This window comes from Homo sapiens, chromosome 17, assembly GCF_000001405.40.
Source record: "Homo sapiens chromosome 17, GRCh38.p14 Primary Assembly".
In the NCBI taxonomy this organism is placed as follows: Eukaryota; Metazoa; Chordata; class Mammalia; order Primates; family Hominidae; genus Homo; species Homo sapiens.
In genome coordinates, this window is record NC_000017.11 from 50,288,657 (window position 1) to 50,305,282 (window position 16,626).

A 16,626-nucleotide genomic window follows, 5' to 3' on the forward strand; every position below is an offset into this window, starting at 1 on the left:
CTGTCCGATCCTAGATTGCTCAGGTAGTAAAAGTGTGAGATGGAGATGGGGCCACTGGTGGCCATGTTAGCCCCTTATGTGAAAAAACCTGGTTGAGTGAGAAGGAATGAAGCCAACATTCAAAGGAAAGTAAAGACAGGAGACAGAGAGAAAGTCCTGTTAACCTTGCGATGCCTGTTTCTGTTTGTTTCTGAAATCCAGCTGCCTTACTATGGCCTAGCTACTCCTCCCTTCCTTGGCAACCAAAAAGCTAACACATCTCTCATTTGGGCTGGGGGGTGTTGTTTTGTTTTGTTTTGTCTTAGTTTTCATTGTTTCAGACAAGGTCTTTCTCTGTCACCCAGGCTGGAGTGCAGTGGTGTGAACACAGCTCACTGCAGCCTCGACCTCCCAGGCTCAAGTGAACCTCCTGCCTCAGCCTCAGCCTCCCCAGTAGCTGGGATGACAGACACATGCCATCAAGCCTGGCTAATTTTTAAAATTTTTTGTAGAGATGAGGTCTCACTACGTTGCTGACTGGCCTAGAACTCCTGGGCTCAAGCAATCCTCCTTCCTCACCTTCCCAAAGTGCTGGGATTACAGGTGTGAGCCACAGCACCCAGTGACATCTCTTATTTTGCTCAAGCTAGTTTGAGTTGGTTTATCATCACTTGCAATCCAAAGAGCCTAAAGTAGCCTATAGACCAACTCCCTCATTTTACAGATGAAGAAATGGATCCTGAGAAAGTCCATGACATCCCTAAGGCTGAGGTCAGTGAGTAGCTAGGCTAGAATTAAATTGCAAACATCTTGATGGGAACACTCATTTGTTTTTGCACAGCCGCTCCTCCTGCCACGCCATGTGACATTTCCAAAGCCTGCCAAGATTTCCAAAGTCCTCAGTTGGAGGGAAATGCACCTAAACCTCCTCTTATCCACAAAACAAAGGGGAAAGGATAAAAATAGAAGACCCCTGAAATATAACTGGAGATCTGGGACCTGGGGGATTGGCGCAGGAAGCTGAGAATGGAGAGAACAAAGTCAGAGTTGTTAGAGGTGAAAACTGAAAGGACCCTACACTCTATTTGTGGCTGAGCTCTCACACAAGGAAGACAGGATCAAAGGAGGTCTTCATCTCTTTGCAAAACTCTCATGCAGGATTCAGATTAAACTGAGCCAACAAATATCCTCCTAACCGAGGCTAAAAAGAGATCAGAGACCCACTCCAGTGTTGGCCACCTGTGAATCCCCAAAACTCCCAGCCTTCCGAGGTCACCCTTACCTTTAATATAAAGTTGGGTAGCTCAAGGGAGGATCCAGATGCTTTTCCTGCGTGGTTGCACAGCTCCTTGCCAGTCCCCTTGGCTCCTACAGCTGACATTCTCCTCCTATCCCCCCACCCCAGCCTAGACACAGCATTCTTCCTGCTCCACCCACCCCTGACAAGCACTGCTAATCAAGCTGCTGTGTGGATCTGACTTTTCCTGAAGTTTCAGGCTAACAGAGAGGGGCGTGATGGGCCCTGGCAGGTTTTCAGGAGTTTTAGTTCCTCCTGGGCCACGTAATATATGAGGCTAACAGAGTGAGCCTGAATCAGACTGGTCCTTGCTAAACAGATGACTCAACATCCTGGAAATGTGTAGCAAGATGGTGTCTGGAGCCAGCCAAGAACTTGTCCCCAGAACCACAGTGTTTGTTAGTTCCCAGTGGCTTGCTAGAGGCAGGTTTTACAACCCCATGAGGCACTTACGCTGGGGTTTCAGGAAGAAGTGGGTGAGGGGCAAGTGGCTTGGTGAGCCTCGCTTTGAACTACCTAAGACTTGCCAGATCTTCATCCAGGACAGGCAGAAGCTTTTGGCCCCCACTCCCAGGAACCCTCCTGGGGGAGCCCAGAGAGCCACAATCGCTGACATCATCCAGCCCGTTGCCCTCTAGTGTCCCCTGAACCTCCACAGCCAAATGGTATTTCATTAAGGATCCTGGGGCAGAGGGCAGCTTCTAGGCAGCTTCAAACCCCATCCTCTGCAGAACCTGCCGAGAAGGTAACATCTCAAAACACATACGTGGTGTGTGCTGCTTATCCCTGACCCCGCTCGGGTATCCTCACCTGATGCTTCCCTGGCCCTGCCTGTGGCTAGGGTTCCCATCCTCTCCTTATGTCCCCAAAACAACGCCAAACAGCCTGCAGCCCACTCTGAAGAGCAGTTTAATGCTTTTTATCTAAGACTTTCCATTTTTAGGAGGTCTGGCCTTCCATGAACAAACACGTTTATCAAGATGCTTTTTCTAACCCAAAGAGTAATTGGCTCTCTAAAAGCAATTCTGTTTGATTCTGGACCAACAATTGCAAATTCACAAACCCTAGCAAAAGATATTAAATAGTGAGAAATATTCTCCAAAACATGAACCTGATTCATACATATAATTACTGTAGTTCTCATATCCTAGAAAATCCAGGATGTACTGTTGCCAAATCTATTTTCCTTATATGTACCACTTACATTGAAATGGATCCCTTCCTTGACTTTTTTACCTGGAAAGCATCAGAGTTCTTCAGAGTAGCTTCTCAGAGTCTCAGTTATAGGACAAGCCCTGGGGAGTCTTTAAAATCCTAGGAATAAGCCATGATAACTAGAGGAGTTTAATTTCACGAATTTTTTTTTCTCTCTCTTTTTTTTTTTTTTGGCAGGGTCTTGCTTTGTCGCTCAGTCTGGAGTGCAGTGGTGCAATCATGGCTTACTGCAGCCTTGACCTCCTGGGCTCAAGAAATCCTCCCGCCTCAGCCTCCCAGTTAGCTAGAACTACAGGCACACGCCACCATTCCTGGCTAGTTTTCTGTTTGTTTGGTTTTGTTTTTTGTTTTTTGTAGAGACAGTGTCTTGCTCTGTTGCCCAGGGTGCTCCTGAACTCCTGGGCTCCAGTGATCCTTCCACCTCAGCCTCCCAAAGTGCTGGAATTACAGGCATGAGCCACCGCACCCAGGTAATCCTAAGAATTCCTAGCAGCCCCTCTGACAATTAGCTGCTCCAAACAGCTTCCTCAGAGACAGCCTGAGCCAGTGCCTCCTCCCAGGAGGTTGAACCCTCTGGACACAAACCCAGTGACCCACCACCATTCCTTTACACAGTGTCCCTCCTTTTTAGCTCCCATTTGGTTCCTGTTCCACCAGGCCCTCTATAAAGGATGCACAGGGCTCGTGGAGGACTCCAGCTCAACTTCCCTGGGAGCTTTACTAAGATTTCAACATTTTACACCTTTGGCCGGCAGTGGTGGTTCACATCTGTAATCCCAGCACTTTGGGAGGCTGAGTTGGGAGGATCACTTGGGCCCACGAGTTCGAGGCTAGCCTGGGCAACATGGTGAAATCCCGTCTCTACCAAAAATTAAAAAAAAAAAAAGAATTAGACAAGTGTGGTGGCGCACACCTGTAGTCCCAGCTACTAGGGAGGCTGAGGTGGGAGGATCGCTTGAACCTGGGAGGTGGAGGTTGCAGTGAGCCAAGATTGCAGCAGTGCACTCCAGCCTGGGGGACAGAGCAAGACCATGTCTCAAAACAAACAAAAAAAATTTACACCTTTGATGGAAAAGAGTCTTAAAGCTTAATTGCTGGGCTGGGCATGGTGGTTCACATCTATAATCCCAACACTTTGGGAGGCTGAGGTGAGAGAATCACTTGAGGCCAGGGGTTTGAGACCAGCCTGGGGAACATAGTGAGACCCTCTACTCCTAGCTATTTGGGAGACTGAGTCAGGAGGAGCATTTGAGCATTGCACTGCATTCCAGCCTGGGTGAGAGAAGGAGACCTCATCTCTTGAGAAAAAAAAAAAACAAAAAAAGCTGAATTCCTGTAGCCAGCATACACTATTTTCATAACCCTCCCTGCAGTTCTAGAGTGTGGCTCGAGGGCACAGTCTAAATGTGAGGTCCATGGGCCCCAATAGCTTCCTGGATAGAATTCAGGGAGCTATGAACTGAAATGGAAAAAACATTACATCTTGATTTTCACAAACCTCTAACTGAAATTTATCATTTCCTTCAGTATGAGGGTAAGCAACAAGCCACAGCAATGTTAACAGTGCCTGTGGATTTATCACACAGAAACCACAGATACTTTAAACAATTGTTTATGTTATTATTTATTAGAGATGAGGTTTTGCTCTGTCACTCAGGCTGGAGTATGGCGGTGTGATCATAGCTCACTGCCGCCTCAAACTCCTGGGCTCAAGTGATCCTCCCACTTCAGCCTCTTGAGTAGCTGGGATTATATATAGGTGCAAATCACTATACCCAGCAAAACCACAGATTTTTTTTGTCACCTTATAGTTGTTGCAAGTGTCTTAAAATATTATTCACACTCCAAACTCGACTGGGTGCGGTGGCTCACACCTGTAATCCCAGCACTTTGGGAGGCCAAGGCGGGCAGATTGGTTGAGGTCAGGAGTTAGAGACCAGCCTGGCCAACATGGCGAAACCCAGTCTCTATTAAAAATACAAAAATTAGCTCGGTGTGGTGGCGGGCACCTGTAACCCCAGCTACTCTGGAGGCTGAGGCATGAGAATCGCTCGAACCCGGGAGGTGGAGTTTGCAGTGAGCCAAGATTGTGCCACTGCACTCCAACCTGGGGATAAAGCGAGACTCTGTCTCCAAAATAAATAAATAAAAATGTGTTTAGGCATTATTTTGAGAAGGGGTCCATAGGTTTCACCAGCTTGCCAAAGGAGTCCAGGGCAAAATAAATAAATAAAAATTTAAAAAATTAAGTATTCTTGTAATCTGGGGAGAGGCTCCAGGCATAAGAATATTATGAGGAGGAAATCCACTTTTTTTTTTTTTCAAGGAAAGCAAGGCTGAAGGAGTAAAAAAGATGCAATTACATGCTGCCTACAAGAGACTTGCTCCACCTTTAAAGAGACACATAGACTGAAAGTTAAGGGATAGAAAAGATATTCCATGCAAATAAAAGCCAAAAGAGGGCAGGAATAGCTAGACTTATAACAGATGAAATCGATTTTAAGTCAAAAATGGTAAAAGGTGACAAGAAGGTCATTATATGATGATAAGAGTCAATTCATCAAGAGGCTATAACAATTGTAAATTATATGCACCCAACATCACATTACCTAGATATATAAGGCAAATATTAATAGATCTTAAGGGAGGGATAGACTAATACAATAATAGCAAAGGACTTTAACACCTCACTTTCAGCAACAGACAGATGGATGGTCCAGGCAGATAATCAATAAGAAAACATTAGACTGAAACTACACTTTAGACCAAACAGACCTAACAGACAAATACAGAACATTCCATCCGACAGCAGCAGAATGCACATTCTTCTCAAGAGCACATAGAACATTCTCCAGGATAGATTACACGTTAGGCACATGACATGTCTTATCAAACTTAAGATTAATATCATATCAAGTATCTTCTCAACCACAATGGTATGAAGCTAGAAATCAATAACGAGAGAAATTTCAGGAAATTCACAAATATATGGAAATTATACAACATGATCCTGAACCACCAATGGGTTAAAGAAGAAATGCAAAAATATCTTGAGACAAATGAAATGGACCCACCAGATACTAAAACTTATGGGATGCGGCAAAAGCAGTTCTAAGAGAGAAGTTTATAGCTATAAATGCCTATATCGCAAAAGAAGAAGGATCACAAATAAACATCGTAACATCACGCTTCAAGAAACTAGAAAACTAGAAAATGAAAAACAGGCCAGGCACAGTGGCTCGTGCCTGCAATCATGCCACTACACTCCAGCCCTGGCTACAGAGCACGAGATTCCCTCTCAAACAAAAGAAAAGAAAAAAACAGAAACAAACGGAAGCAGAAGGAAGTAAATAATAAAGATCAGAGCAGAAATAAAGACTAGAAAAGATCAATGAAACTGAGTTGGTTTTGTTTTCTGTGACAGAGTCTCAAAAAAAAGAGTGCAGTGGTACAATTTCAGCTCACTGCAACCTCCGCCTTCTGGGTTCAAGGGATTTTCCTGCCTCAGCCTCCTAAGTAGCTGGGATTACAGGCACCTGTCACTATGTCCAGCTAATTTTTGTATTTTTAGTAGAGACAAGGTGTCGCCATGCTGGCCAGGCTGGTCTCAAACTCCTGACCTCAAGTGATCTGCCCACCTTGGCCTCTCAAAGTGCTGGGATTACAGGCGTGAGCCACCGGGGCCTGGCCAAGTTGCGTGTTTGAAACAGTAAACAAAATGGACACATTCTAAGCTAGACTAACTAAGGAAAGCAAAAGTGATTTGTCTGGGAGAGGCATTGGTTTGTGCGACCAGACCTCTGCATTATAATGCAGAGGGCCCTGGAAGTCTAAGCATTCCTAAGGAGTTGTGACGAGCCTGTCTTTCCATGTGCCTGCCACCTGTCCTGCCTGGGTCCATCATGTATCTGTCAGCGGACTCACCTTGTGCCTTCACATTCCCATGGCATGTCTGGGACATCCTGTCACTTAGTCTATGTGTGTCTACATGTGCCATTACATGTTCCCCTCAAAGCTCTGCTGTGTTTCTGTCCAGTGCCTGCCACATGTCCCCCACATGTCAGCTGTATGTTCACGTATGAATTCCACGTGTATTTTATTTATCCATGGGGTAATATTGCTGTCATAGGTCCTGCATATTTTGACATGTAACCGTCAAGTTAACTCATGTATCCATTCATTCATTCATTTATTATTGAGTTCCTAGTATGTGGCACTGTTTTAGGCTCTGTGGATACAACAGTGAATAAAACAGAAAAAAAAATACTGTCTTCACAGAGCCTGCATTCAAGACAATAAATATAATAACAATAACAATATAGTAGAGGCCAGTAATCCCACACTTTGGGAGGCTAAGGTAGGCAGATTGCTTGAGTTCAGGAGTTTGAGGCCAGCCTGGGCAACCTGGCAAAACCCTGTCTCTACCAAAAATACAAAAAAGTAACCGGGCATGGTGGGGTGCGTCTGTGGTCCCAGCTACTTGGGAGGCTGAGGTGGTACGATCACTTGAACCTGGGAGGTAGAGGTTTCAGTGAGCCGAGATCATGCCACTGCATTCCAGCTTGGATGACAGAGTGAGACTTCTGTCTCAAAACAAAACGAAACAATATAGTAAACATAGAAATAAATTAACAAGCATAATAAACAAATTATATAGTATGTCAGAAGGTGATGAGTGCCACAGAAAAAAATGGGGGAAAACAAGGGAGATCAGAGGTGCGGGAAATATATTACAGTGCCCTTGTGAAAATTTAAAAGAAACAAAAAGAGTAGCAGGCAGAGTGGATACAGTTGTAAACAGGAGGTCAGGGTAGTCCCCTTGAAAAGTTAGTTGTCTGAGAGAAGACTTGAAGGCAGTAGATGAAGTGACCCTTGAAGATATGGAGGAAACACATCTAGGCAGAGCAACAGCAGCTATGGAAGCCAGAGGCAGCAGCTTGTCTGGTATGTTGGAAGAATGTGGAAGCCAGTGTGGCTGGAGTGGAGTAAATTGTAAGAAGTCAAACAGGGCCTGGTGCGGTGGCTCACACCTGTAATCCCAGCACTTTGGGAGGCTGAGGTGAATGGATTGCTTGAGCCCAGGAGTTCAAGACCAGCTTGGACAACATAGTGAAACGTCAACTCTACAAAAAATAGAAAAATTAGCCAGTATGGTGGCGTGCACCTGTAGTCCCAGCTACTCAAGAGGCTGAGGTGGGAGGATTGCTTGAACCTAGAAGGCAGAGGTTGCAGTGAGCCAAGAACACACCACCGCACTCCAGCCTGGGCAACAGAGTGAAACCCTGTCCAAAAACAAGTAAATTAAAGAAGACAAACAGGACTTGAATCAGTTTATCTTGGCCTCAATGAATTTCAAGTTTCCAGTTTTCCTCCACCTTTAATATGGTTTAGCATAAACCCGTCTGTGGACAACTGTCCTGGAAACTATTGACCACTGTGGTCTCAGGCCATTTTCAACTACTCTGAGTTTAATCTCAAGAAAAACAAAAACAAACCCATCTCAATGTAAATAGGAGTAGGGCAGCTGGGTCAGAAAATGAAAATTTTCTCCCAGGGGAGGGAGAAGGGTAGGGGAAAGAATTCAGGCTTAGAGTCCCAGCTCTGCCACTCAACAAGCTGAGTGACAGTGGTCACTGTGCCAGCCTCACTGAATCTCTTTCCATGTATGGAAAATGAGGTGAGACCCCCACAGGGATGTGAGCATAGAATGCAAAATAAACATTCAGCCCCCAGCCCAAGTCTGACTCTCAGGACAGCTCAGTCTGCAGCCACTGCCTCCCTTCTTGGGCCTGAATGCCCAGTGTACTTCCCCTTTGACCTTCATTGTCTTGAAACTATACATTTAGCACCTGAGAGTCAGCTCAGGTGGCAGGTAAAATCTTTGCATAGTTTCTGATGTAATTTTTTTTTTTGAGACAGAGTCCCGCTATGTCACCAGGCTGGAGTGCAATGGCATGATCTCAGCTCACTGCAACCTCCACCTCCTGGGTTCAAGTGATTCTCCTGCCTCAGCCTCCCGAGTAGTTGGGACTACAGGCGTGCGCCACCAAGCCCAGCTAATTTTTGTATTTTTAGTAGAGACAGGGTTTCACCATGTTGGCCAGGGTGGTCTCGATCTCTTGACCTCATGTTCCACCCCCCTCAGCCTCTCAAAGTGTTGAGATTACAGGCGTGAGCCACCATGCTTGGCCTCTGATGTATTTTTTATCCTGAATTCTCCCATATAGCATAGGGCTTCAATTCTTGGGGAGAAAAAAGCTGGAGTTGAAATCCTAAAGAAATAAGAATGTGAATCTGAATTGGTATGGTTCATCTTGTAACTGATTTAATGGACACTGGAAACGTTTACAAGTGCCTACCTGTCACCCGGAGTCGGTGGGTGGCCGCCCTCTGGGACTCCTTGTCTTCTGCTGCCATCGCCTGGAGGCAAGAGGGACTGCAGGGACACAGAGGGACAGAGGCCCACACAGGTGGGAGCAGCAGGGGCTCAGCCCCCTGGGGCAACTAAGGCCACCCTGGGGAGGCCAGTGGCTCACCTCTCATGAAAAGGCAGGTGGAGTGACTTGAAAGGCTGGTTTCCTGGCTGAGCATGGTGGATCACGCCTGTAATCCCAAGCACTTTGGGGGAATGAGGTGGGAGGATCGCTTGAGCCCAGTAGTTGACCAGCCTGGGCAACAAAGCAAGCCCCCCATCTCTACTAAAAATTAGCCAGGCATAGTGGTGTGTGCCTTTGATCCTAGCTATGTGAAAGGCTGAGGCAGGAGGATCGCTTGTGTCCAGGAGGTTGAGGTTGCAGAGCTGTGTTTGAGCCACTGCATTCTAGCCTGGGTGACATCGAGACCCTGTCTCAAAAAAAAAAAAAAAAAGAAAAAAAGAAAAGCTGGTTTCCTGGCACATTAGTGGCCAAGAAGGCTCAATGACAAAGCGGGGAGTTTTAACGACTACAGCTCTAGTCTCACCTTCTACAAAAGAGGAAACTAAGAGCCCTGCACTGTGGTGGAGTGTTTTTCCCAAGGCAGAGCTACACTGCTTCCCAAGGCAGGATGTGGCTTAGGGACAAAGTCACATTCGAAGGCAGGCCCCGAGGCCTGATTCCAGGGTTGCTTTATAGCACCGCTCAAAAGTGTTGTCCTTGGACCAGCAGCCTCAGGTCAGCTGGGAGCTTGTTAGAAATACAGGATTGCAGACCCCGCTGGCAACCTACGGACCCAGACTCCGCACTTTACCAGATCCCCCAGGAAATCCGGACGCCAGTCAGAGCCAGTGCGAGGGACTGGTTTAGAACACACTGCCTCTCAATGTTTTTAGGAGGGCACATGAAGATAGTTTTATTTCCCCAAGTGGAAATCACAGTATTGTTTATTCCTTTTTTTTTTTTTTTTTTTGAGATGGAGCTCTGTTGCCCAGGGTGGATTGCAGTGGTGCAATCTCTGCTTACTGCAACCTCCATCTCCCAGGTTCAAGGGATTATCTTGCCTCAGCCTCCCAAGCAGCTGGGAATACAGGCACCCGCCACCACACCTGGCTAATTTTTTTTTTTTTAAGTAGAGACGAGGTTTCACCATGTTGGCCAGGCTGGTCTTGAACTCCTGACCTCAGGTGATTTGCCCACCTCAGCCTCCCAAAGTGCTGGGATTACAGGTGTGAGCCACTGCCCCTGGCCAGCATTGTTTATTCTTGGTTATAGTAGTTCTGCATGCTCACTATAAAAAAATCAGACAATATAGGATAATTTAAAGAAGAAAGCAATAAATATTGTGTTGTGTAAATATCCTTCTGGACATTTTCTATACACACACACTTCTTTTTTTTTTTTTTAGATGGAGTCTCGCTCTGTTGCCCAGGCTGGAATGCAGTGGGGTGATCTCAGCTCACTGCAACTTCTGCTTCCTGAGTTCAAGCAAGTCTCCTGCCTCACCCTTCCAAGTAGCTGGGATTACAGGCATGCACCACCACACCCGGCTAATTTTTGTATTTTTAGTAGAGACGGGGTTTCTCCATGTTGGCCAGGCTGGTCTTGAACTCCTGACTTCAGATGATCTGCCCACCTTGGCCTCCCAAAGTACTAGGATTACAAGTGTGAGCCACCGTGCCTGGCCCACAACATTTTTACAAAAATCAGATTATGTGTGTATCCTCCATATTGTCTTGTCGCCTTTTCTTTCTCTTCTTTTTTTTTTCTGAGACAGGATCTTGCTCTGTTGCCCAGGCTGGAGCGCAGTGGCATGATCACAGCTCACTGCAGATTCAACCTCCTGGGCTCAAGCAATCCTATCTCAGGGTCCCGAGTAGCGGGGACTACCAGGGTGTGTGTGTGTGTACATATATATATTATATGTATACATGTGTGTACATATACACACACATATAAATATATATACATATATAGATTGTATATATATATTTTTTTATTTTGTAGAGATGAGGGTCTCACTATGTTGTCTAGGTTAGTCTTGAACCCCTGGGCTCAAGTGATCCTCCCACCTTCACCTCCCAAAGTGATGGGATTTCTGGCATGAGCCACCACACCTGGCCAGCCTTGGATATGATTTCTCTTTTTTTTTTTTTTTTTTTTGAGACGGAGTCTTTGCTCTGTCGCTCAGGCTGGAGTGCAGTGCTGCAATCTTGTCTCACTGCAACCTCCGCTCCCTGGGTCAAGTGATTCTCCTGCCTCAGCCTCCTGAGTAGCTGGGATCATAGGTGCACCACAACACGCCTGGCTAATTTGTTTTGTTTGTTTGTTTTGTTTTTGTTTTTGTATTTTTAGTAGAGACTCATGCAACTGCAGCTGCTTGGGTCACTCAGGAGCCCTCATGACCATCACCCACCCCTTTTCCCTGCCTGGAATTCTCCTCTGCTCACCCACTCCACCCCTCCCTCCACCCTCACCCAGTAATTCCTATCTGCGTTTAGGCTTGGCCTGAAATGTCAGCTCCTGGGGAGGCCTGGGAACACTGAGGCTGGATCCCCTTGGCATTCACTCCTCTAGTGCCCTTTCTTTTCTCCTTTGGAGACATTTATCACAAATTCATGAAGTTTCCACTTGAATAAGAATTTGTTTATGTCTTTCTTGTCCTTGAAAGCAGGGCGTGTGTGTCTCTGGGCTTAGGGACCCCTCTGTGCCTCACACTTTGTACAGGGCCTGGCACATAGCAGATGCTCAGAACATGCTTGTGACAGGATGAAATGAAGGGGTGGATGTTGCGGGTCCTCAGTGCACACTCGGCTTGGGTTTCTACTTGATCGTGTCAATCAAGCTCAGATTCAGAGCTGCTAGGGAACTGAAGGTCTCTTTGGGGGCACTGCCTCTCAGCAACACTATTGCACAGAGGGATTTTCTGATTACAGCACCAGAAAGAGCTCACCCCAGGTCTGGTACACAGAAAGCACTCTGCAGGCCAGGTGTGTTGACTCATGCTTGTAATCCCAGCACTTTGGGGAGTTGAGGTGGGCAGATCACCTGAGGTCAGGAGTTTGAGACCAGCCTGGCCAACATGGTGAAATCTCCTCTCTACTTAAATACAAAAAATTAACCAGGTGTGGTGGCATGTGCCTGTAGTCCCACCTGCTCGGGAGGCTGAGGCAGGAGAATTGCTTCAACCTGGGAGGCAGAAGTTGCAGTGAACCGAGATCACTCCACTCCACTCCAGCCTGGGCAACAGAGCAAGACTCTGTCTCAAAAAAAAAAAAGAAGAAAGAAAGAGAGAGAGGGAAAGAAAGAAAGGAAGGAAGGAAGGAAGGAAGGAAGGAAGGAAGGAAGGAAGGAAGGAAGGAAGGAAGGAAAGAAGGAAGGAAGGAAAGGAAGGAAAGAAGGAAGGAAGGAAGGAAGGAAGGAAGGAAGGAAGGGAAGGAAGGAAGGAAAGAGGAAAAGAAAAAAGAAAGCACTGTCTGGAATAGCAGCTCCTTGGTGGTGGTGTGGAGGCTGGCACGGGTGTGCCCCCACTTGCTCCAGCTTGTAACACCCTCAAGTTTCCATGTGTCTTTGCCTCTTTCCAGACAGGCCACACTGAACAGCATATAACAGCACATATTCCAAACACAAGCAGGGAGGTGGTGCTGTAGGGTGACTTCATGGTTTATTAAACATGGACAGAGAACTACTAATGTGCCAGGTACTGTTCTGACCCTAGGTCCACAGAGATGGTGAAGACAGAAACTCTATCACAGTCGCTCACAGCCTAGAAGCAAGGAGACCAGTCAGTACAATGCAGTGGAATGCATGTCATGGTAGCGGTGAGTTCAATGCCAGGAGTAGGGGGACCACAGAGGCAGTGAGTGCCTCTGTAGTGAGCAGAGGCCACACCCTTCCAATGTTTTTTGTTGTCGTTGTTTTGTTGTTTTTGAGACAGAGTCTCATTCTCTTACCCAGGCTGCTGGAATGCAGTGGTGACATCTCCGCTCACTGCAACCTCCACCTCCTAAGTTCAAGCAATTCTCATGCCTCAGCCTCTTGAGTAGCTGGGATTACAGGTGTGTGCCACCACAGTCAGCTAATTTTTATATTTTTAGCAGAAACAGTGTTTCACCATGTTGGCCAGGCTGGTCTCGAACTCCTGACCTTGGGTGATTTGCCCACCTTGGCCTCCCAAAGTGTTGGGATTACAGGCGTGAGCCACTGCGCCCGGCCAGCCCTCTTAAAATCCATCCAAACGTTCCCATATCTCTTGAAATAAAATAATTTTTAAAAAGGTATCCAAGGTCTGGGATGGTCTGGCCTCTCCCAACACCCACACCCTCACCTCCCAGCCTTGTCCTCTCGCTCTCTGTATCCAGCCACATCATCATTTTCTCAGCCCCTTCCATGTGCCAAGCTCTGTCCCACCTGGAGGTCCTCACAGATACTGGTTCCTCTGGCTGGAACCCTTCCCATGAGCACATTTTTGTGACTGGGCACGGGCATACACGAGGCTACTGAACAAACTGCTTTACTTCAGCCTTCAGTTCTGTTCCCAGTGCCCCGTGAAGGGTAGGCCCTCAATAAATATTTGCTGAGCAGACTACCTTTTATTCCTCACATTCATGGCAAACAGTTTCCCTAGATTATGGCTTGCCCTTAAATTTATTGTTTCTTTAACCTTCAGAAGTTTTACATTTTGATGTCGTCAGATCATCCAATCTCTCTTTTGGGGTTTCTCTGTTGCTTTACACACAGAAAGTTTCAGAGGTTTCATAACGGCTAGTGCCTTGAGCAAGGGCCCAAGTTTGAGGGATTTGAATCAGAAGGAACAGGAAGCTGATAACCTTGGTAGAAGCTGATGGAGGGAGTTGTGTGGCAATACCAGGTGCAATGGCGATATGGGGTTAGCATGTCTTGGGTGTGGCGTTCTTGGTCTAGCATTTTCCTCACGGTGCTCACCAACTCCTTAATGGGTCTGGAAAGTATTAACACCCTGGTATGTGTTAAGGAAAAGCAAATCAGAGCCCACTGTTTGCTAGGCATTGTGTTAAGCACTGGGGAACTGACTTTTTTTTTTTTTTTTTTTGAGACAGGGTCCTTCCTCTGTCACCCAGGCTGGAGTGCAGTGGCCCAATCATAGCTCAGTGTAGCCTCCAACTCCTGGGCTCAAGCAATCCTCCCACTTTAGCCTTCCAGGTAGCCAGGACTACAGGTGTGTGCCACCTGGCTAATTTTTTAATTTTTTACAGAGGTGGAATCTTGCTATGTTGCCCAGGCTGGGGAACTGACTTTAAAGGTAAGAATCAAAGAATAGAGCAGTAGTTTATTATGTGCAGGCTGTGTGTGTGTGTGTGTGTGTGTGTGTGTGTGTGTGTGTATAAATGTGTCTGTTAGGGATTCCAGACAGAGGGAAAAATATCTGTGAGGAGTCCAAGGTGGAATATAATCAGACGGTCCTCATTAAATCCCAAAGGAGGCTGCAATCGCCAGCTCTCTCATTCAAAACTCAAAGAGAGGTTTTGAGGGAAGGCAAGGAGAGGACGTTATTGACCATGATGTGTGGCCACATTCTTGAGGGTCTCAGCCCAGCCCCAGTTGCCTTAGAGGACAGGACCAGGCTGCTTTTAGACTACAGCCGCCATGACTCTCCACACGCTGCGGCAAGAGTTAAGGCAAAGCCGATAGTACAACACAGCAGTTGTCCCAGGTGAAGCCCTTGTCAACAGGCGTCCTGCGGCTTTGTGACTGATTGTTCTATCCTTGGCTCGGAGAAGGGGCAGCCATTTGATGTTCAAAAATACCTGTAAGCGGCTGAGCTTAGTGGCTCCTGCCTGTAATCCCAGCACTTTGGGAGGCTGAAGCTGGCGGATCACCTGAGGCCAGGAGTTTGAGACCGGCCTGGCCAACATGGCGAAATCCTGTCTCTATCAAAAATGTAAAAATTAGCCGGGTGTGGTGGTGCACTACTATAATCCCAGCTACACAGGAGGCCTAGGCAGGAAAATCACTTGAACTTGGGCGGCAAAGTTTCCAGTGAGCCGAGATCAAGCCACTGCACTCCAGCCTGGATGACAGAGTGACACCCTGTCTCAAAACAACAACAAGGAAAAAACCCTGTAACCTACAGCCATTTAGGTGTAGGGTAGAGCATTTAACCTCATGGGGTGGATAAATCAATCAAAGTGCTGTTCAGGCCTCCCCAGTCCTTAGTCCAGCAAGGTGACGTTGGCAGAGGGTCTCTCACTGCCCGGGGGAGACAAGTGAGAATAAACGACAACACAATGACTCCCAACTGTGGGCATTTAAGCGGGAGCCAGGCCTTGTGCTGAACAAGCAGTTCCCTTGTGTATAACCTTAGATGGTGGGTGTGGCTCTTTATTTTCTTTTTTTACAACTTTTTTTAAAATCTTTTTTTTAATCTTTTTTTTTTTTTTTTTTTTTTTTTCTGAAATAGTCTCGCTCTGTAGCCCTGGCTGGACTGCAGTGGCGCTATCTCGGCTCACTGCAACCTCCGCCTCCTGGGTTCAGCAATTCTCCTGCCTCAGCCTCCTGAGTAGTTTGAACTACAGGTGCCCGCCACCATGTCCAGCTAATTTTTGTATTTTTATTAGAGATGGGGTTTCATCATATTGGTCAGGCTGGTCTCAAACTCCTGACCTTGTGATCTGCCCACCTCAGCCTCCCAAAGTGCTGGGATTACAGGCATGAGCCACCGCACCCAGCCTCCAAAAAATTATGTTTTTTGAATCATAAGGCGTGACTCTTATTCCCACTTTACAGATAAGAATGGGATGCTTAGAGAGGTTTGCCCCGAGTTGCTTAGCTATAACTGCAAAAGTCCAGGATTCAGACCCAGATTGCCTGCCTCTGTGGCCATGCGAGGAACTGTAATGCCCTGTGGTCTCCCAGATCGTGGTGAAGGAAGGAACATGTCTGAGGACCAGAAGTGGACACACACGAGGCAAGATTGGGAACTCAATGTCAGATATCTCTCGGGGAAGAACATGACTTCTGAGACTTTGACTCAGAAAAGGATGGGCTTCATGGGGATGCTGGGATGCCACTCTGCAGGCATTTCTTATAAATATCTCCTCTGTCCTGTTGCAGGGCTGGAAGAGAACGATTTCAGTAGCATTAGGGCTGTGTAGGCTGCAAATGAATAGCAGGAGCTGGCTAGCCACATACGGACAAAAGTGGGGAAACACTGGCATAGTGGCTGTTAAGAAATATGGGAAGAAGGCTGATGTTACATGCTGTCACACACAATGTCACATGCTGTTATATGTGATGTTACATGCAGTTACATGCAACATTACGTACAATGTTCCATGCTGATGTTACATAATGTTACATCATCTTACATGCACTGTTACATGCTGATGTTACATAGTATTATGTGCATGGTTACATGGTGATGTTACATATTACATGCTGTTACATGAGAGGAAGTCTGTTGGGCTGTCTGCTGTGTGACAGCTGGCAGAGGGAGGCTGTCCCCAAGGAGTATACAGGGCAAGGTGCCCAACTAGGCTGAGAGAGGCATGGGCATCCAGTCCTCACAAAGAACAGAGAGGGGCCACCTCCCCTTGCGGCAGGCCCCGGGCTGCCTGCCTGGAGGAGGGGAACCCCAAAACGTGGGCTGGAGACAAGTGAGTGGGAAAGGAATGTGGTGAAGCACTCAGCTAGCGATCTGGGAACAGTGGCGAGCGCCACAGACTCATTCACTGAACTGTGAGA

The 16,626-nt window shown here is 46.9% G+C and overlaps 1 annotated feature.

The window, feature by feature from the left end:
- Nucleotides 14,380–15,362: an enhancer, noted in NCBI's record as "NANOG hESC enhancer chr17:48380397-48381379 (GRCh37/hg19 assembly coordinates)". NCBI's record gives its function as "activates a minimal SCP1, AML or CMV promoter by ChIP-STARR-seq in naive H9 embryonic stem cells {active_cell/tissue: H9 hESC(naive)}" and the evidence as "EXISTENCE:reporter gene assay evidence [ECO:0000049][PMID:30033119]".